The sequence below is a fragment of the Homo sapiens genome, chromosome 4 (assembly GCF_000001405.40).
Source record: "Homo sapiens chromosome 4, GRCh38.p14 Primary Assembly".
NCBI classification, from domain to species: domain Eukaryota; kingdom Metazoa; phylum Chordata; class Mammalia; order Primates; family Hominidae; genus Homo; species Homo sapiens.
The window spans coordinates 3,574,022-3,594,722 of record NC_000004.12 but is presented as its reverse complement, the minus strand read 5'-3'; the positions used below and the strand labels follow the sequence as shown (position 1 = coordinate 3,594,722).

At 49.0% G+C, this 20,701-nt stretch overlaps 1 long non-coding RNA gene across 1 annotated transcript, besides 2 other annotated features; it reads right to left on the bottom strand.

Moving 5' to 3' along the window:
* Positions 1 to 3,737: 3,737 nt before the first annotated feature.
* Positions 3,738 to 17,854, bottom strand: LINC00955 (long intergenic non-protein coding RNA 955). Its single transcript, NR_040045.1, has 3 exons — positions 17,600 to 17,854; positions 6,673 to 6,848; positions 3,738 to 5,789 (listed from the first exon to the last, which is right to left on the bottom strand). It is a non-coding gene; the product is annotated as a long intergenic non-protein coding RNA 955 (long non-coding RNA).
* Positions 6,086 to 6,586: an enhancer, noted in NCBI's record as "H3K4me1 hESC enhancer chr4:3589864-3590364 (GRCh37/hg19 assembly coordinates)". NCBI's record gives its function as "activates a minimal SCP1, AML or CMV promoter by ChIP-STARR-seq in naive H9 embryonic stem cells {active_cell/tissue: H9 hESC(naive)}" and the evidence as "EXISTENCE:reporter gene assay evidence [ECO:0000049][PMID:30033119]".
* Positions 7,107 to 7,765: an enhancer, noted in NCBI's record as "H3K27ac-H3K4me1 hESC enhancer chr4:3588685-3589343 (GRCh37/hg19 assembly coordinates)". NCBI's record gives its function as "activates a minimal SCP1, AML or CMV promoter by ChIP-STARR-seq in naive H9 embryonic stem cells {active_cell/tissue: H9 hESC(naive)}" and the evidence as "EXISTENCE:reporter gene assay evidence [ECO:0000049][PMID:30033119]".
* Positions 17,855 to 20,701: the final 2,847 nt, after the last annotated feature.

Sequence of the window (20,701 nt, the reverse complement as noted above, 5' to 3'; positions counted from 1 at the left end):
GACAGAGCAACAGAAGTTATTCAATGTGAAGGAAAAAGAGAGAGAAAGCATTGAGAAAATAGAGAGATTCAGTGAGACAATGTCAAGTCGTCTAACATAAGTGTCAATATCCATTGAATCCATTCCTGGAGCCCCAGAAGGAGAGGAGAAAAAGACTGCAGCTGGGATAAAAAACGGATTTGAAGAAATAATGGACAAAATTTTTCAAAATATCATGAAAAGTGCCAGGCACAGGGGCTCACGCCTGTCATCCCAGCACTTTGGGAAGCCGAGGTGGGTGGATCTCCTGAGGTCAGGAGTTCGAGACCAGCCTGGCCAAACTGGTGAAACCCCGTCTCTACTAAAAATACAAAAATTAGCTGAGTGTGGTGACGTGTGCCTGTAGTCCCAGCTACTTAGGAGGCTGAAGCAGGAGAATTGTTTGAACCCAGGAAGCAGAGGTTGCAGTGAACCAAGATCATGCCACTGCACTCCAGCCTGGGTGACAGAGCGAGACTCCATCTCAAAAAAAAAAAAATCATGAAAAACATCAACCTACAGAAGAAATAACAAGTCCTAAGCATAACGTGCATGCATGCACACACACAGACACACACACAAACACACAGACACACACACAAACATACAGAGACACATACACAGAAACACACACACCACACACACAGACAGACACATGCACACCACACACATAGACACACACACAAACACACACACAAACACACACCACACATAGACAAACACATGAACACACACACACATACACACACACAGAGACACACACACAGAGACACACACCACACACAGACACACACACCACACACACCCCACACACAAATATGTGCATGCACACACCCCACACACAGAGAGACACACACACACCATACACATACACAAACACACCAAGGTACTTTATAACAAATACTGAAAACCAAAAATAAAAATACACTCTGAAAAGCAGCTAGAGAAAAATTAAACATGACATGTAGGAGGGGAAGAAAAGAAATACCTCCAGCTTCTCATTAGAAACAATGCCGGCAGGAGACAGTGGATGACATCCTTGCAGACTGAAAAAATCGTCAGCCTAGAATCCTACATCTCACAAAAATACCTTTCAAGAGCGAAAGCAGATTTCCAGTTTCAGCTTGAAGACAGCAGAAAGAGCCTTGGTTCAGCCCTTACAATAAGAAAAAAAGCTGAGAAACTGCAAGTTAACGATTTTTTCATCAGGCCTTCAGAGAAATGGAGTCACAGGGAAAACAAGCAAGCCAAAATCTGGAGAAAAACAGGCTTCCGGGGAGAAACAGGACCTGAGCATGTTCTCACCTGGGGCAGATGCCACTGAGTCTATTACAGGCTGTTAGATATAGATCTATATTGTGTAGAAATGTGTAAGAATTTACTAAAGGCCAAGCATGGATAAGCATGGGAGTGTGACACCCCTGGTGCCACAGACATATGGGAGGTTCTCACCCTCTTGAAGCTTTTCTTCCAAGGATCCCACCAACCGCTCCCAGGGAAGACACAAGGAAAATCCTAGGGAGACTTTACCTGGGGTAGTGGTGGAAGGAAACACATTTACCCCCAAAATTCTGCCCAGACCCATCCCCACTCTCTGCGCAATGGAACAAAGTCTGCAAAGAAAAACAACAACAACACAAAAATCCGAGCCTCTGTCACTGGTAGGAGTCCATGGAAGCTGGGAGAGGAAAACAGAAAAAAGAAAAAACTCTACCTTAGGAGAGGGTCAGACACACATGCTAACCATGGCACCACCCCGGAAGAGGGCAGGCACATGTGGGAAGAGCCTGGAACAACATTGGATGGCCTAACATACATGTAGTGCAGTTCCAGAAGGAGAAGACACAGAGAAGAGGCTGGAAGAAGTATTTGAAGACCTAACGGCTAAAAATTCTCCAATATGAGTGACAGACACCAGATCACAGATTCAGGAAGCCCAGAGAACATCAAGAAGGGTAAACACCAGGAAAATCCACACCTGGATACATCTTCAAACCACCACAAAGGAAAGACAAAGACAATCTTCTTGAAACCGGATGGGGAAAAAGATACATTATCTGCAGAGAAACATAGATAAGAATTTCCACAGACTTCTCATCAGAAACCATGCAAGCAAAAAGACAAAGGAGAGATTTCTTTTTTTTTTTAAGAACTGAATGAAAAATGAAGACCTCCAAAAAAAAAAAAACCTGAAAGAATTCATTACCAGAAAACCCACTCTACACAAAAAATATTAAAGTCCTTCAAGTGGAAGGAATATTATATAGACAGAAACTTGAATCTAGAAAAAGAAATGAAGATACTGGAAATTGACTGAAGACAAAAGAAAATCATTTTTAAATTTAATTTCTCTAAAACATCATTGTTTAAAGGGAAGATTATAATAATTTATTGTATGTTTGTGACATATGTCAAAGTGAAGTGTGTAATAAAAACGACACAGGAAGAGCAGGGAGGAATTCCATGTATACTGGTCCTTACACTGCACTTGAAGAAGTACAATATTATTTTAAGGTATGCTCAGATTGTTTAAAAATATAAATTGTGGGCCGGGCACGGTGATTCACGCCTGTAATCCCAGCATTTTGGGAGGCCGAGGCAGGTGGATCACAAGGTCAGGAGATCGAGACCATCTTGGGTAACATGGTGAAACCTCGTCTCTACTAAAAACACAAAAAATTAGCCAGGAATGGTGGGGGGCACCTGTAGTCCCAGCTACTTGGGAGGCTGAGGCAGGAGAATGGCATGAACCTGGGAGGTGGAGCTTGCAGTGAACCGAGATCGCGCCACTGCACTCCAGCCTGAGTGACAGAGCGAGACTCCATCTCAAAAAAAAAATTGTGTGTATGTATATATATATATATATATATATATATATATATATATACACATATATATATATACACATATATATATACATATATATATATATATAGTGAACCAGAAGAATACCTCTAAAAGGTTTTTTAAAGAGGCATCAATAAGTCAATAGAGGAGATATAATGGGATAATAAAATGCTCAATTATGATCAGAAGATGGAGGAAAAGATGGGAAATGAGACAAAAAAGCAAATGTAATAACCTGTCACATGGTCCTGAAGCACAGCAGCATAAAGCGTAGCAGTACAAAGAACATAGCTTCACTTATGGAGCATAAAGTGAATCCCTATGAAGGATTTATACCTAAATTTCAATATACAGAAAAGACAGGGGGACAGAGGAACAAGCTGAGCCTGTCATGAAGAAACAGAAGAACTCAAACTGTGGGCGCTCTTCAAGACATAGCCCTTCAAGAGGAAAAGTCAAGAAAATAATGTCGAGAAACTATATTTTTAACCTAAAACTTTCAATCTGGAAGGAACAGGAACTTTTCTAGTTTTAGAGACAGGTGAGGCAGTGCGTGAAACTTGGTTAAGTCTTGGTTCAAAGTCACAGCTATGAGAGATGTAGGGAGCACTGGGCACTTTTAACCTGGACAGGATATTAGATAGTATTTGAGAACTGATTCCTAATTTCCTTACATGTGATCAAGGTATTGTGGTTCTGTAGAAAATGTCCTTGTTTTCAACACATGCAAGTGAAAGGATTGGGAGCAAAGTGTCACAGTGCCTCAAACTCATTGTGAAATGCTCAGCAAAACTTTAGAGGAAGGAAAGAGAGAAACATACATGGCAATATGCTAATAATTGTTGAACCTAAGTGGGAGAGATACAGGTTTTCATATGCTATTCTTCATTTATTCTTCCATAATGAACATTTTCATAATTTAAAAAATCCTCCCATTATCCACAGACCCGATTTTCAGGAGGTGCCACCATCTGGTTCACAGGCATATGCCCAAAAGTAAGCGAGGAGCTCTGAGCAGCCAGCGTGGCAGTCACCAAGCCCTCCAGGCTGCAGCTCCCAAGGTGGGTGTTTATTGATTGAGCTCAACGTCTGCTCCCCCTTCCCATCTGCTCTGACTTCCGTTTGGAGATCCACGTGGTTTAGGAGAAGCTGGCTCCCCTCCAATCTGAATATTCTATCCCCTGACCACAGAGAGTCAGGGACACACATGTGATCTAAGGCAGTCCAGTCCCCCCACAGGGGGCAGGAGTTGCCCACAACCAGCTCAAGAATGAAGGGGAACCAACCCTAAGCAAAGCCAATCCTGCAGAAGCAGTGCCCAGAGGTTAAAGGACCTTGGGGACATCATGGAGAGCCCCTGGAGCATCCCTCACCCGAAGCCACCACGTCCACCGGATTGGTCTGTTGAAGAAGCCAATAGATTCATTTAGGCTGCGATGCTGCTGCTTGCAATCAGAAAGATGCTGAGTCATACAATTCCATAGAAGAATCCCTCGGACCCTCACTTCCAGCCGGAAATCAGTAAACAATGTTCAGGTGCCATTCTGAAATCTGTATCTTGTTTCCGGGAACTCAGGAGTGGAGACCCTGTAGACTAAGAGAGGCAAGGGCCGTGCAGGCAGGCACGCCACCCGCACCCACAGTGAGCGCTGACAGCCCGCAAGCCGGCAGGCTCTTCCCAGGAGAGGAAGCCTGGCACTCAGCCTCTGCATAATTAGAGAAATGGAAATTAAAACCACAACAAGATCCACTTCACACCCACCAGGCTGGCAAAATCTCCAAGCCGGGATAATATCCAGTGCTGGCAAGGATGTGTGACACCTCAGATACCCAAATGCTGCTGGTAGGAGTGTAAATTTATGGAATTCACGTTGGATAGCAATTGGCAGATATCTACATATGTTATATGCACGTGTATATACATGTATATATGTGTGTATGCATATGCTTGTGTGTGGATGTGTGTGAGTGTGTGTGTATTTCCATGTACAGTCATGTGCCACATAAAGCACTTCTGTCAAGAATAGACGGCATATACAGTGGTGGCCCCATAAGATTAGAACAGAGCAGACCTTGTACAGGTGTACTGTATTTGATCTTTTATACCATATTTTTACTACACTGTTTCTATGTTTAGGTATGTTTACATGCACAAATACTTACCATTGTGTTACAATCACCTGCACCATTCAGTACAGTACCACCCTGCCTGGGTTTGTAGCCCGGTAGCAGGAGGTCCTGCCATACAGCCCAGGCGTGTGGGAGGCGATGAGTCTGTGCCATCTAGGTTTGAGTAAGTTCACACTATGATGCTCGCACAGCGACGAAATCGCCTAACAGCGCCTTCCTCAGAACCATCCCTGCCATCGGGCGATGTGTGACTGTATGTGTATATGTGTATACACAGACATGTACGTGTATACATACAGTGCAAAATATTGACAGTTGGTGAATCTAACTGAGGGGCATGCAAGTGGTCCTTGTCTATTCTTTCAACGTGTCTGTTTGCTCGAAAGTCCTCAAGGTAAGCTGGGGGAAATCATCTAAAAGGCGGCAAGAAAGGAAAGAATTTATACACAGAATCTGCAAACAAACAGTATACGTAAAAGAAAACAGCAGCTCCAAACTTAGATGTATCAGTAATTGCATTAAGTATAAACAGACGAAGAGCTCTACTTGTGAGCCTATGTCGTTGACTCTGTGTGTGTGTGTCTGTGCATGTGTGTGTGATGGATTTGTCTGTGTGTGTGTGTGTGTGTGTCTGTGCATGTGTGTGTGATGGATTTGTCTATATGTGTTTTCTATTTTTAAAAAGCCAACATTGGCAGAGCAAATGCAGTTACCTGGAGCTGTCCAGCAAAGGTAGCCTGATACCCAGCATCCTCTGCATGTGGCATGTTCAGGGAACGTTTTCTCTAAAATAACTAAGAAAACAAAACAACACATTCACACATGGGGGATGTCTCTAGCTGTCACGCCATGGACTTAGGGGCTGATGCTTGGCTGACGCCCCAACCCCAGGTGGCACTGCTTGGCGCCCTCCCCAGCGAGGGTCTCCTAGCCTGGCTCACTGAGAAACCCCACCACACATCACCCTGGATCTGCCTCAGGGAGAGAGGTTCGCTGAACTGCACTAACACACACCCCAGAGACCCAGGTGCCAGCCAGCCAGACGCCTTGTATTAAGTGACCTGAGGGATGGGCCATCTGGCAGCCAGACCTTCCTGTCACTGAGCCAGGGCTCTCCTCCCTGGGGACAAGTCCAGTGGGAAGGCAGAACCACAGGACAGCTTAGGAGCCGGAGCCAGGCCAGGAGAGGGGGCAGCTTCAGCCAGGTGCTCACCTCCAAACAGGGGCAGTGGGGCAGTTGGAGTTGGGGAGAGGAGACCCTCCACAGTGCTGCTGGGGATATGTTCACCTGCACATATTCTAGGCTTCCTGGCTGTGTTGAGACTGGGATACCTTTGGTCAGGTGGCTTTGTCCTCCCCCTCCATGTCAAATGTCTGCATGTCGCTCCTCTGCACCTGCCACCGCCATGTCTATCCACCCTATTCGATCCTCACTGACCCTGGAAAAGCCTACCTCCCAAGACAGCACTCAAGGTCAAAGGTCAAAAAAAGCCAGACACCTGTGGAATGCAGCCTAGGTCTCTTCTCCCTGGAAATTCACCTGAGAGTCTGTGCCTGGAGGCGCAGGTGCACCAGGAAGTTCCACCTAGAAGTGCAGGTGCTCAAGGGATTCTCACCAGGAAGTATGGGTGCATCAGGAAGTTCACCCGTAAATGCAGATGCAGCAGAACATCTTACCTAGAAGTGCAGGTGCATCAGGAAGTGCAGATGCCCAAGGGATTCTCACCAGGAAGTTGCAGATGAACCAAGAAGTCTGCACCAGGAAGTGCAGGTGCACCAGGAAGTCTGCATCTGGGAGTGCAGGTGCACCCGGAAGTCTCATGTGGAAGTGCAGGTGCACCAGAAAGTCTCATCTGGAAGTACAGGTGCACCAGGAAGTCTGCATCTGGGAGTGTAGGTGCACCTGGAAGTCTCACCTGGGAGTACATGTGCACCAGGAAGTCTCATCTGGAAGTGCAGGTGCACCAGGAAGTCTCACCTGGGAGTGCAGGCGCACCAGGAAGTCTCATCTGGGAGTGCAGGCGCACCTGGAAATCTACATGTTCCACATGAGGTGACTCCTGGGCCTGCTTTCTGATTCTGTTTCCAGCCCTGCCGACATTAATCCACCACCCCAGTGTCTCTCAGCTCTAAAGCCATGACCCCCTCACACTCCACGCTTCTGGCCTGGCCTGTGCCTCTTTGCCCCTGTGACAGGGAAGGGTGGCGGAGCAAGTGCTGCACATAGGAGTCCAGGGCTGGCCGGTCATGGCCACCTTGGGCCCAGGCCTCCTCCTCTTGTGAGGAGGCAGGCAGGCAGCCAGTGATGCCTGGGCACCCTCCTGACACTATGCCCTCCAGGGAGGACAGGAGTGCCAGGCCTGGGAGTGGAGTATGGAAGCCTCAGAAGTTGCCTGCTCCAAGAGCATGGGGGGCTGAGCCAGGCTTTCTGCCCAGCCGGGAGGATCCAAGGGCCCCTTGTTTCTGAGGGCCCTTTGTTTCCGAGGGGCCCTGCACTTTCTGAGGAACTTCCTTGGATTCAGCCCTCTGCCACGTCTCAAATTCTCTGCCTGCTTCTGCTACATGCAGCCATGAGGTGGGGCCCACCCAGCAGCTCCCAGCTCCATGAGAGCGAGTCCACGGCCATCTCCAAAGACCACAGTGGCCTGGCCAGGTGGATGTGACATCTTTACTGCCCACTGCTGAGACCTTTCTGCCTCTTGTTTCAATGCTGGGGTGTTCAGGGAAGGACTGCCAGGCCCGGTGCCTCGGGGCAGAAGCTCCATTTTCACCAGAAGCTGAGAATGAGAGGAAGGTCCAGGTAGGTGCAGAGGTGAGAACCCTGCAGGGGCTGAGCCGGCCCAGCCCAGCCAAATCCCAGCCCGGGACCAGGGGCAAACTGTTTAACCTCGGTGCCCACAGTTATAAAGCAGCAGTGATGGCAGCTCCAGGCTCCTACGCACTTCGACAGGCACATGGTGGCCTAAGTGAGGGCAGGCCGCCTGCCCAGGGCCCCCGCTGCTGCAGCTGCGTTCCTTGTTGTTGCTGTTGGCACTGTCCTATCAGAAGCACCTGGGCATACACCACAGCAGGAAAGCTGGAAGTCTCATCTGGGACTCTCATCTGTGGCTCCCACCCTGGCAGAGCCATCTGGGCTGTTCTGAGCACAGGTTCACCCACAACCTAAGGAACGGGAAACTCCTTACATTCGACGCCTCTTAGCTTGTTTTAAACAAGGCCCACGGCTTCCATTTTCCTACACTATGGCAGGCCATGACCTTTACTCATGCCTCCCACACAACAAAATCAAATAAAATAAATCCTGGGTAATTTGTGGTAAATTGTGAACATTGATAAACTGACAAAGAAGCTTTATTCCAAGAGCTTGGGTTAGAGTTCAGTAGGGACTGACAGGGCCTTCAGGAACACGGCAGAAGTAAACACAGATCCCTTCTGTACCACAGGACCCCCAGCAGTTTGGGAGGCTGAGGCTGGCAGATCACCTGAGATCAGGAATTCGAGACAAGCCTGACCAATATGGTGAAACCCAGTCTCTACTAAAAATACAAAAATCAGCCATGCATGGTGGCATGCACCTGTAGTCCCAGCTACTTGGGAGGCTGGGGCAGGAGAATTGCTTGAACCTGGGAGGCAGAGGTTGCAGTGAGCCGAGATCGCCCCATTGCACTCCAGCCTGGGTGACAGAGTGAGACTCCGACTCAAGAAAAAAGGAATTCAGATAATCAGATAATGGCCTTATCACACACAGAGGACGAGAAATTAAAGGACCAAAAAGATTCAAAAAATAACTACGCCCACCCTGAGAAGCTCTCCTAGAATGAAAATACATAACTGAAATTCAAAGGCAATGAATGCATTTGACTGCAGAGCAGACACAGCAGAGGAGAGGATGGATGAGCCTGGGGGAAGCGGAAGCCGTTCTCCACGCAGCACAGGAAGTCAGACAGAAAGTGCGGAGGAGAAAATGGGAGGAGGGGAAGCCGGCAGAAAGGGTCTGGCACACATCCATGTTGACACCCGGAAGGAGAGAGAGGAAAATACAGAGTAAAGTCTGAAAAGAGGGTGACTGACCACAGGTCTGTCTGATTCTGTCAAGAACAATTCAGAAGGAGCTGCAAGTAAAGCACTTGGGTTAATGAGTTTGGCAGGTTTGCTAGATACAAACCAAAATGCAAACATCTGTTGTATTGCCATATATGAGCAACAAAAAAAAATAGAAACTATAACTTTTTAAATGATGCTGTATTAGGGCTGGGCATGGTGGCTCATACCTGTAATCCCAGCACTTTGGAAGGCCAAGGCAGGCAAATCACTTGAGGTCAAGGGTTCAAGACCAGCCTGGCCAACAAAGTGAAACCCCATCTCTACTAAAAATACAAAATTAACCAGACATGGTGGCACACGCCTGTAGTCCTAGCTACTCGGAAGGCTGAGGCACAGGAATCACTTGAACCCAGGAGGCAGAGCTTGGCAGTGAGCCAAGATCACGCCACTGCACTCCAGCCTGGGTGACACAGTGAGACCCTGTCTCAAAAAAACAAAAACAAAAAAAGATACTGTATTAGTTAGGATTCTCCAGAGAAACAGAACCAACAAGATGTGTGTGTACGTGCATGCATGCATGTGCCTGTGTGTGTACGCATCGTGCATGTGTGTGTGTGCACGTGTTTGTGTACACAGAGAGATTATTGATTTTTTTTTTTTTTGAGACAGAGTTTCGCTCTTTCACCCAGGCTGGAGTGCAGTGGTACGATCTCGGCTCACTGCAACCTCTGCCTCCCAGTTTCAAGGGATTCTCCTGCCTCAGCCTCCCAAGTAGCTGGGATTACAGGTGCCCGCCACCACACCCAGCTAATTTTTGTATTTTTAATAGAGACGGGGTTTCACCATGTTGGCCAGGCTGGTCTCAAACTCCTGACCTCATAATCCACCTGCCTTGGCCTCCCAAAGTGCTGGGATTACAGGCGTGAGCCACCGATTTTTTTAAGGAATTGGCCCACATAATTGTGGAGGTGTAGCAGGTCCAAAGTCTGCAGGGCAGGCTGACAGTCTGGAAACTCAGGGAGCAGTTGGAGTTTGAGTCCAAAGGCCACTTGCTGGCAGAATTCCCTCTTCCCTTGGGGAGGTCGGTCTGTGTTCTAGTCAGGTCTTCACCTGATTGGACGAGGCCCACCCACATTATGGCGCGCCGTCTGCCTAACTGAAGGTCAGCTGATTTCAGTGTGTATCTTATCCGAAAAGCAGCCTCACGGCAACATCCTGACCAAGTACTTGGGCACTGTGGCCCAGCCAAGTTGGCATACAATTAACCATCCCAGAGACCATTACAGTAGTACAGCTGGCAAGAAGTATCTAGGAATAAACCTAACAAAATACGTGCAAGATACACAGAGAAAAAATAAGAAGTTTTACTGCATGTCATGAATGAAGATCTAAATAAATGGAGAAATAAAACATACTTGTTTTCAAAAAATAAACATGTATATGGATTGGAAAACTCAATAATATTACAGAGATACCAATTTTTCCCCAAAATGATGTGTAGAGCCACTACAATGCCAATCACAATCCCAAGTGGTGCGTGCATGTGTGTGAGTGTGCACGCATGTGCATATGTGTGTGCATGGGTGTGTGCATGGGTGCATGTATGTGCATGTGTGTGCACATGGGTGTGTGTGTGTGTGTGTTTGTAGACTTTAACAAGATGATTCTAAAATTTACATGGAATTGGAGCAGGCACCACTGTAAACCTATTCTGATTCTGGTGCCCAATAAAGATCTTTTTTAACTTTTTAAAAAGAGCCAGGAATAGCCAAAATATTCTTAATGAAGAATAAAAAGCGGGAAGGTTGGTCTTTCTGTTCCCTAAGATTTCCTTTAAAGCCTTAGCAAAGCAGACAATTAGGTATCGGCACACAGGTAACGCATACCAGACGGAAACAGAGCAGGCCTGGATGCTGGAGGAGACAGGCAGATCGATGGGGACAAGACAGTCCCATTTAAAATCAGTTTGGAGAACTGATTATCCATAGAGGGAAAAATATTACTTACACTCCTGCTCTGTACTGTCCACAAAGGTCAATGCTGAGAAAAAATAATTTTAAATCAAAAATCAATACCAGGTGGATTAAATATGAAAGATGAACCCACAGACCTTTTGGAAAGGCATAAAGAAGAAAATCTGACTTCAGAGTAAAGAGACATTCCTTAAGCAAGACACAAAGGACACAAGCCATAAAGCAAAAGAGGAATTAATTGGACTTCATTAAAATGTACTACTTCTGTTCATCAGACACCGCATTGAAATGGAAAGATAAGACACACTGGGAGAAGATGTCTGCAGGACGGATAATTGGCAAAGAGTCACTTAGGAAATATATAAAGAATTCTTGTAACTAGTCACCAAAAAACAAAAAATATGTAATGGACAAAAGACTTGAACAGGTGCTTCACATAAAAGAAAATCCAGTTGGCAAATACACATAGGCAAAGATGCAGAACCTCATTCCCTACCAAGGAAATGCAAATTAAAACCATAGCAAACTAAAACCACAGCTAGTGCTACTTCACATTCACTAGACCGTCAACATAGTAAAATCTCAGGAAGCTGGGAGAATTGCTTGAGCCCAGGAGTTCGAGGCCAACCTGGGTGACATAGCAAGACCCCATTTCTAATAAGGAAAAAAAGTTTAAAAATGTTAAATTCAGACAAAACCAAGTGTTGACAAGGATGTGGAGCAACAGTACCTTTTATAGGTTGCTGCTGGGTATGCACTTTAGAAAATCATTCAGCAGTATCTAGTAAAGTTGAAGCTGTCCAAACTGCTGACAAAGTAGCTCTGGCTATTTTCAGTAAATACCTGCTTGGAAAAGATGGTTCCAATGTTTACAGTGGTCACAGCAGCATTTCTTTAGTGGTGCAGGCATACCATGGAATACTACACAGCCAGGAAAATGAACAGCGACAGCTACACACATCTGCAAAGAAGAGTCGTCTGAGCAATAGAAATGAGTCACGGAAGCATTCCCAGGATGTGATCCCATCAGGTAGCATTCGAAAACAGACAAAAACTAAGCATCTGTTTAGGGGTGCCTACGTAGGTGGGAAAATTGTAACTAAAAGGCAGAAAATGATTACCCCAAAAGTCAGGTGAGTGGTCCCCAAGGGGAGAGGGAAGGAACCCAGGAAGTTTCTGGGATGGTGGCAATAGCGTGTCGCTCCAGGGGCTCACATTACCATTCGTGTGTGCCATTCACTTCATGACAATAAAATCATATTGTTTACAAGGATGCCCTGCTCTGCCCATTGGTCTGGGAGGGGCTGTCTTGCCCTGTACAGAGAGAGTGCAGGTGCAAAAGTGCAGAGGGACCAGGGGTGAGCCCAGTTCTGGGACCAGACTGCCAGGAGACCAGAAGCACGGAGGCCAGGGCCCTCCCTGAAGGTATCTAATTTGACTGAGTCATGCATGGGGCTGCACCTGTGACGGCCACAGAGGCCCTGCAGCTGTGCCTGGCAGACACCTCCCTGCACCGGAAGGGTTCCACCATCTCTGACCAGTCCCCTCATCGCACCTCCTCTTACGGGAGCCCAGGAAAGAGCCCAGGCAGGCACCTCTTCTCCTCCAAGGCATGGCACAGCCCCGGTCACAGAAATGGGAGAAAGTCTGCTTTGACCACCCTTCAGTGTGCCCCTGTCCCCACTGACTCAGACTCCAGCTCCGCCCGCCCCTCCTTCCAGCCCCCTTTGAGGACATATTGGTCCCCTCCCTTTACAGAAGAATCAGACTTGCAGGCTCTGCACCTACCCAAGCCCCACGGCAGGAAACAGGCTTTGCCTGGTGCCTGCACCATGCCCCCTGCCTGTGCCCGGCCTTGTTCTAGAACATAATACAGGACCAGCCATGCCCGCTGTGAGAGCCTGGAGGAGGCAGCTGGGTGGGGCAGGGGCAGGCTCTGAGGATCCAGGGGACCATCCCCACCAGGCTGCCCAGAGGACAGGCAGAGTGACCAGCAGGCTCCTGGCACCAGAGGGACCATGGGCCTGGCAGATGGCGGTGGATGGGGACAGTAGGAGCTCCCCACGCCACAGGGTAGCAGCCTTCGGGACAGGCAGGCAGAGGGTCTCAGGTGAACCTGGAGCTGAGAGCATTCAACATGACCACAGGGGCCATGGGGCCGCAGGACCAGGGCAGCCCCGCAGAACGCAGGGAAGATGGCTGATTCTCGAGCCCCATCTGGAGCCAGGGCTGGGGCCGCACCTGAGGGACCCACGCTGGGGGCACAAACAGCCTCTCCCCAGGCCTCTCTGCACCCTGTGCTCCCTGGGAGGAGCTATGGGAATGGGCTGTCTACTGTGCCTTCCAAGGCCAGCTCATTATTCCTGGTCAGTCCCTGCAGCCCAGACCTGGCTCTGTCAGGCCCTAAGGGCAGTGCAGGGAGAGCTTAGAGGAAAGCCCCCAGAGAGACTGGATTCCCTTTGGTGGGGCAGAGGCTGTTCAAAATGGAAAGCCACCCCCTTCTCTTCATTTCTCAGAGCAACACATTCAGCCCCACTTAGCTCTCTTCACAGCCGCAGTAGGACTTTGGTCTGTGTCCAGAACCCCCAGAGGCTACCCCGCCTCAATGCACACACATGTCGGGATGAGCCAGCATCTAGCAGGATGCCTGGCTGTAGCTCAGCATGGGCAGTGTTGGCAGGGGCAGGCCACAGTCCAGGCTCTGCTCCCACACACGCCCACACGCACTGACCCGTGGCCCTCACCAGGAGCCTATGAGGTCGGTGCTCCTTTGTCTCCGTGGACCAATGTCATCCAGCGAGCAAATAGTAGAGGTGGGATTTCAACCCAGGCCATTGGTACCATAGCCCACATGCTAACCACTGTGCTCATGATCACCAGATCACTGTAGGGGGCGAGATGGCAAAGTCAAGGAAAAATGACAGAGCAGAGGGACAGAGCTAGTCTCTCCCAACACTGAGAAGTCAGAAAAGTCTGTGGGTCCAGAAGCAGCTCCCCTTTAGGTGTAGGTACTTTTTTTCTAGTGTCTGCTGCCTACTAGGTCCTTTAATAAATATTTCCTAGGTAGATAGGTGAATGGGTGAATGGACAAGTAGATAAATGGATGGATGGATAGATGATTGGAGGATGGAAATGGGTGGATGAATGATGAATGGATAGGTGGGTGGGGGGGTGATGGATGGATGGATGGATGGATGGACGGACAGATGGATGGATGGATGGAGGATGGAAATGGATGGATGGATGGATGGATGGATGGATGGATGATTGGAGGATGGAAATGGGTGGATGAATGATGAATGGAAAGGTGGGTGGGTGATGGATGGATGGATGGATGGATGGACGGATGGATGAACGGACGGACGGATGGTTGGATGGATGGAGGATGGAAATGGATGGATGGATGGATGGATGGATGGATGGATGGATGAATAAATGGGTGGGTAGGTGGGAGTGTTAAAGGACAGGTGGATAGGAGGATAGAGAGAAGGGAGAGTAAAGGGTAAATAAGTGAGTGGTTGGATGGATGGATGGGAGAATAAGTCGGCATGGTGCTAATGTGATATTTATTTTATGTCCTCAAAGGCTTTTTTTGCACATATGATAGATTATTCAGAAATTACTTTGGGTTTTAAAAAATTAAAATTTGTATGTACTGATGATACAAAATCAGAAACGTATGTTTTTCTCCCTTAAACTATTGAGCCGAATCTACAAATCTTATCATTATAAGTTTAAGAAATCTCAAAACTCTTTCTAAAAGTTATTTCATTAGCAGTAGTTCCTACTACTTAATAAAACACCTTCAAAAACTTAATTACATCAACAAACTTAATATATTAGATCTTGCCTGACAAATATTCCCAAATTAACTAGTTCTTTTAAATTTAAAAACATAACTTCCTAATATGATGAAACTTAGATTCTCTTAAATGTTCCAACATTTTATATAAACTTTATGATTTCAACTGATAGTCATAAGTCTAAATCAAGTAATTCAGTGTATATTTCAAATGTTAATTAAAAGGCCAAACTGTCCCTTCTAATAACCCCAAATCTCTTAAACATCACAAATGCTTATAATACCAAACACGCCCAGATTCCTTCACTCAAAACTATGAATACTGGAAGTTGATACCATAAAACATTTCTGTACCTAATTCTAAATATTCCCTTGGGTTTAAACATTTTTTTTTTTCACTGAGGAAACAACTAAGAGATTTGAGCAGCATTATCTAGGTAATTGGAGGTTAGAAAATACTAGCATTATCAGTCAGTGTACTGATGGTATTTTCATCTACCACACAGACGGGAGTTGCAGAAACCTATTTATGTATTGTTACAGGGACTCCAGATCTTAGAGTTTGGTTTTGAGCCCTCGACCCCATATAGAACTTGATCCTGTTCCTTTCATGCACATCTATAAACCCCACCCAGGGGGTTCAAATGGGTTTTGCATTTATCAGACTTCTCCATGATTGGCATAGTCTTCCTGGTGAGACCTGGAGTGTGGCTCCCAGACACCCAAACTTGGCTGGAGTCCTGAAGCAGGCGCAGCTAATCTGGCTGATCTACTCCTTCACACTCGTGGAGCAGATGGGGAAACAGACCAGAGGGGCAGCCCAGGAAGCAAATTTGGATGATCCAAATCTCAAAGCTGAGTTGGAATCTGTGGACAAAGCTTCTAAAGTCATACGAGTGATGTGTGGTGTTTGGATGGATGGATGGATGGATGGATGGATGGATGGATGGATGGATAGATGGGTGGATAGAGGATGGATGATGGGTCTTTGGGTAGATGGGTAGATGGGTGGATGGATAGGTGGGTGGACCACAGTCTGATGGGTAGATGGGTTGATAGGTGGTTGTTTGAGTAGGTGGATAGAATGGATGGATAGAAGTTTTATGAGGGTATGGGTGAATGGGGAGTAGTGGATAAGTAGGTGAAGCAGTCAATGGGTAAGTGAGTGAATGTGTAGGAGGATCATGCATGAATGGGTGAGTGGATGTCATGGGTATATGGGTATAGGAGAGGTAGATAAGTATGTGTACAGATGGGCAAAGGGAAGGATGTGGGCGTGTTATGGGGTGGTTGGGTAGGTTGACGGATGGATGGGTGGATAAGTATTGTGTTACATGGGAGAAAACAAGTTTAGTTAGGTTGATGGGTGAATGGATGAGTGAGTAGTTGGATATAGACATGGAAGCTGGCTAGCTGGGTGGATGGATGATGGGTGAGTGAATGGATGGGTGGGTGATGAAAGAAAGGGAGGACGGATGGGTGGATGGATGGATGAGTGAGTGAATGAATGGATAGGTGGGTGAATGGAATAGGTGGATGGATGGATGGACGGATGGATGGATGGATGGATGGATGGATGGATGGATGGATGATGAAAGAAAGAAAGCATGAAAGGATGGGTGGGTGAATAGAATAGGTGGATGAATGGATGGATGGTTGGAAGGATGGATAGATAAGTGAATAATGAATGGGTGGACGAATATGTGGATGAATGGATGGATGGGTGGATAGATGGATGATGAAAGAAAGAAAGGGTGAATGGATGGGTGGATGGGAGAGTGAATAAATGAATGGGTGGATGAATGGGTAGATGGATGGATGGGTGGATGGATGAATGAATGAGTGAGAGGATGGGTGGGTGATGAAAGAAAGGAAGGATGAAAGGGTGGACGGGTAGGTGGATGAATGTATGATAGGATGGAAGCTGGCTGGATGTGGGGGTGGATGAGTTGAATGGACAGATGGGTAAGAGGGTGAGTAAGTGGGTGGATGGTGAAGGAATTAATAATGTTATTATTATAAACATTATTATTATTATATGAATAAGTTTCTGGTTTAGAAGACTAGTATCCTTCTGAGAGCTCTCTCAGAGTGTCAGGCTCTACAAATTTGCTTCCTTGGGCTGCCCCTCTCTGGGTTGTTTCCCCATTTGCTCCATGAGTGTGAAGGAGTAGATTGGCCAGATTAGCTGCGCCTGCTCCAGGGGCCCAGCCCAAGCCCAGGTGCCTGGGAGTCACACTCCAGGACACTCGACCCCTGCCCTCTGGGGCCAGGGTCAGCAGCCTCTGGCCAGACCCCTCTTCTTAAAACAAGCTCAGGTAGGGAGAGAACACTGCCCTGCTGGTGGTTGCCATGGAAAATCCTTCATTGCTTGTTTTTCTCCTCGACTGATTAAGAAAAGGGAGTCATAAAATGACAGGGCGTCACTGGGCCTTGCCGCTGGCCAGCTTTGACTTATCCCCTGACATTTCCCAGGAGCCAGCTAACCTTTTCTGCCACAAATAGACTGAAGCGGGTCCCTTGAGGCAGTCTAGCCTGAACAGAGTCCATCTCAGGGGAGGTCAGGACCCGGGATACAGCAACAGGAGCCGGGTCATTCAAATAACCAGGAAGGAGAGCAGACAGTGCTGGGACCGAGAGCACAGCGAGGACCCTAAGGAAGCCACCAAAAAACAGCCTTCGCAACAGTCAGGACTGCTGTCAGGACCACCAGGCAGAGCCCAGGGAGCAAACACCTGCTCTCCCTCCCTGGGGTCCCCGCTGTGTTCCCAGGCATGACACTCACCTCCCAGAGCAGCAGCCTGGCCTCTGCTCCTCTCCGGGCAGAAACGACACAGGGATGCTCCCCAGTCAGTGTGCTGGGGTCCTAGGGGCGTTGGCGACGCCGGGGCAGGTTCCACCATAGATCCTGCTGCCTCAATCCAGAGGGCTTTCGGAAGGCGCCCCTGCTATGGCATCGCAGAGGGAGGAGACCCGGGATGTGGCCCAGCAGGGCTGTGTATACACCAAGATGCCTCCGTCTGCCCTTCCAGCTGTAAATCAAGACTCAGCCGTGGAGAGGGAGGATAAAGTCCACAGGGGCTGAACCTCCTCCCCAGCCCTGGTCTCAGCCTCAGGATAGAAGACTTTAACCCCAGAAGGCCCTCAGGAGGCCAGGCAAGCCAACACCCTCGAACCTGTGCCACGATGGGGGGCGATGGGGCGAGGACAGAGCCTGGAGTCACAGACCAGGAAACTGGGTTGCCTCAGCTCACCCAGGGTCCCAAGGCCAGGACAGGGCAGAGCCGAGACCAAAGTCCCTGCGAGGCCGCCCTCATGAAGGGACTCGGGAGGGTTCACTGGGTGAATGGATGAGCCTGTACAGTGAATGAAGGCCGAGCCCACGGCTGGGAGCTGCCATCCCCGGCTTCCTCTGAATACAGACAGCCTGATGCGCAGGTCTCAGATCTGGAAGGGGGCCTGGGCCCCTTGACCCCATCTCTTCATTTACTGCTGGGGAAACCGAGGGCCAGCCTGCCACAGTAATGCCGTGGGTGCCTGAGTCATCTCCTCCTCCTCCTCTTCCTTCTCCTCCTCCTCCTCTTCCTCCCCCTTCCTCATCTCCCCCTTTCCTCCTTCTCTTCCTCTTCCTCCCTTCCTCCCACCCGTCTCCCTCTCCTGAGCCCCAGCTCTGCTCTGCCACCAGGCCTTGTCCCTTTTAGGGTCCAAAAGAGCAGGTCCTGCCCTGGGGCCAGTCAGCATGAAAAGGGATGACCATCTCTTCCTCCAGAGGACAGGGACTCTATGCCCCAGGCACTCCAAGGTCAAACCTGGCTCCCACTCAGACTATGAAGACAGCATCCACTGGGTCAGAGTCATGAAGCCACGGGTCCCAGGGGACAGCTCAGGTGGCCACAGGGCCAGACTGGCAGGCTGCCCTCTGCCTCCTGTTAGCACAAACACCCCTCCCCTCAGGCCTGAACTCTGACATGAGCCAGTGGGCACCGGGCCCTGTCAGGAACAGGAGGAGGCCACAGCCATCCTCAGGAGAGAACAAAGGACACACAGGCCTCCGGGGAGAGCAGTGGGTGGCAGTGACAGGAGGGGCTACTCAGAATTCATGAGCGAGGGCCAGGCAGCTTGGCCACCTTGGAGGAGCCGCTGCACCTATCCAAGCCCAGGTTTCCCTGCTGAAGGCAGCACCGGTGTCTCCTCCTGGGGGTGTTGAGAGGGTCATCCCAGGCCAGGGAGGTCGAAGGGCTCTGTGAGCTGTGAAGCGCTGGGCACCTGTGGGGCGGGGGCGTTCATCCTGCGGTCAGTCTGCCCTGGAGGGCGGAACACCTACGCACTGTTCCAGCGGGAGGGGTATGGCGTCCAGTGAGGCCCAGCTCCCCGAGCCTTTCCTGATGGCACTGGAAGACAGGCAGCATCCCAGAAACATATAAAAGGCCCAGGGGCTGGTGCTGGGGGCACATGACCGGGGCGACCCTGGGCTGGGCTGTGTACCCCCGGAGCACTGCAGCAGACAGAGCAGGGGTGCGAACTCCAGGGTCCCAGGATCCATCTCCTTCCCTGCAACAAACCCCTCTCTGCTGGAAATCCCTGGAGCGGTTCCTCCATCCTGCTCTGAACCTCCTTGACTGATCCCACCGACCGGTGCACTGCACAGCTGCCTGGAGACCAGAAGATTCCATACGTCTCCCTCCACCTGCCCAACACCCACAAGCCCAGGAGGCTGCCCTCCATAATTCTGGCTTTTCTGCGTATTTTTCAAAGCACAGGGCACTGGAAGAATGCCTGCATGAGACATTCTTGCAAGCCAGAGCCCGCTGGAGGCATGCAGGAGAGCAAAACCTCCCTGCTGTGTCTGCAGATTTGCACACATTTCTGGGAAATAAACCTGCGGCCCCTCCTCTCCCCGAGACGTTGGTTTATCTTCCAGGGCAAAAGGATACCGTCTTTTCTGTGGCAAAGATGGGGGCGAGATGGCTAGCAGTCCCCTTAGAAGATCAAGGGTTTCCTCGGCTGACACAAACCTGCTCTGTTTGCCCCCTGAGATGTGGGGGACAAGGCAGAGGGATAAGGACATGCTGTACCCTGAGTAATAAATGGTCAGGACCCTTCAGGCTTGTCGCTTCCTTACTGGTCACGTTTATGGAAGTGTGGCGCAAACGTGGCCGCTACTTGGTCAAGTGACTGCGAGTTCCCGTGCGTCTCGGGTCACCAGTGTTTCTCCCTGGCTGTGCCCACACCTCACCTGGCCTCCCAGGCCCTGTCTCCCTGAGCTTCTCACAGCACGCTCCCTCGCGGTCTGTGTACCGCCTCTTGGGTCGCCTTCCACACCTTGAAGCAGGAGTGTGAGTTCCTTCCGCGGACCCGGTGCGGGCTCCTGTGGCCCCGCTCAGCCCGTTCTCATCCTTCAGGGAGTCTCAGATTATTTTTGTTTGTTGTTTCTTTTTTTTTCCTTCCAACTTCTATTTGAGGTTCTAGGTATACACGTGCAGGTCTGTTACACGGGTAAACCGCGTGTCACGGGGTCTTGGTGTACAGATTATTTCATCACCCAGGCACTGTGCATTGTACCGACAGGTGGTTTTTTTTTGTTTTTTTTTTTTGTTTTTTGTTTTTTGTTTTGTTTTTTTTTCTGAGATGGAGTCTTGCTCTGTCACCAAGGCTGGAGTGCAGTGGCACGATCTCGGCTCACTGCAACCTCTGCCTCCTTGGTTCAAGCAATTCTCTGCCTCAGCCTCCCGAGTAGCTGGGATTACAGGCACCCTCCGCCAAACCTGGCTAAATTTTTTTGTGTATTTTTAGTAGAGACGGGGTTTCACTATCTTGGCCAGGCTGGTCTTGAACTCCTGACCTCGTGTTCCACCTGCCTTGGCCTCCCAAAGTGCTGAGATGACAG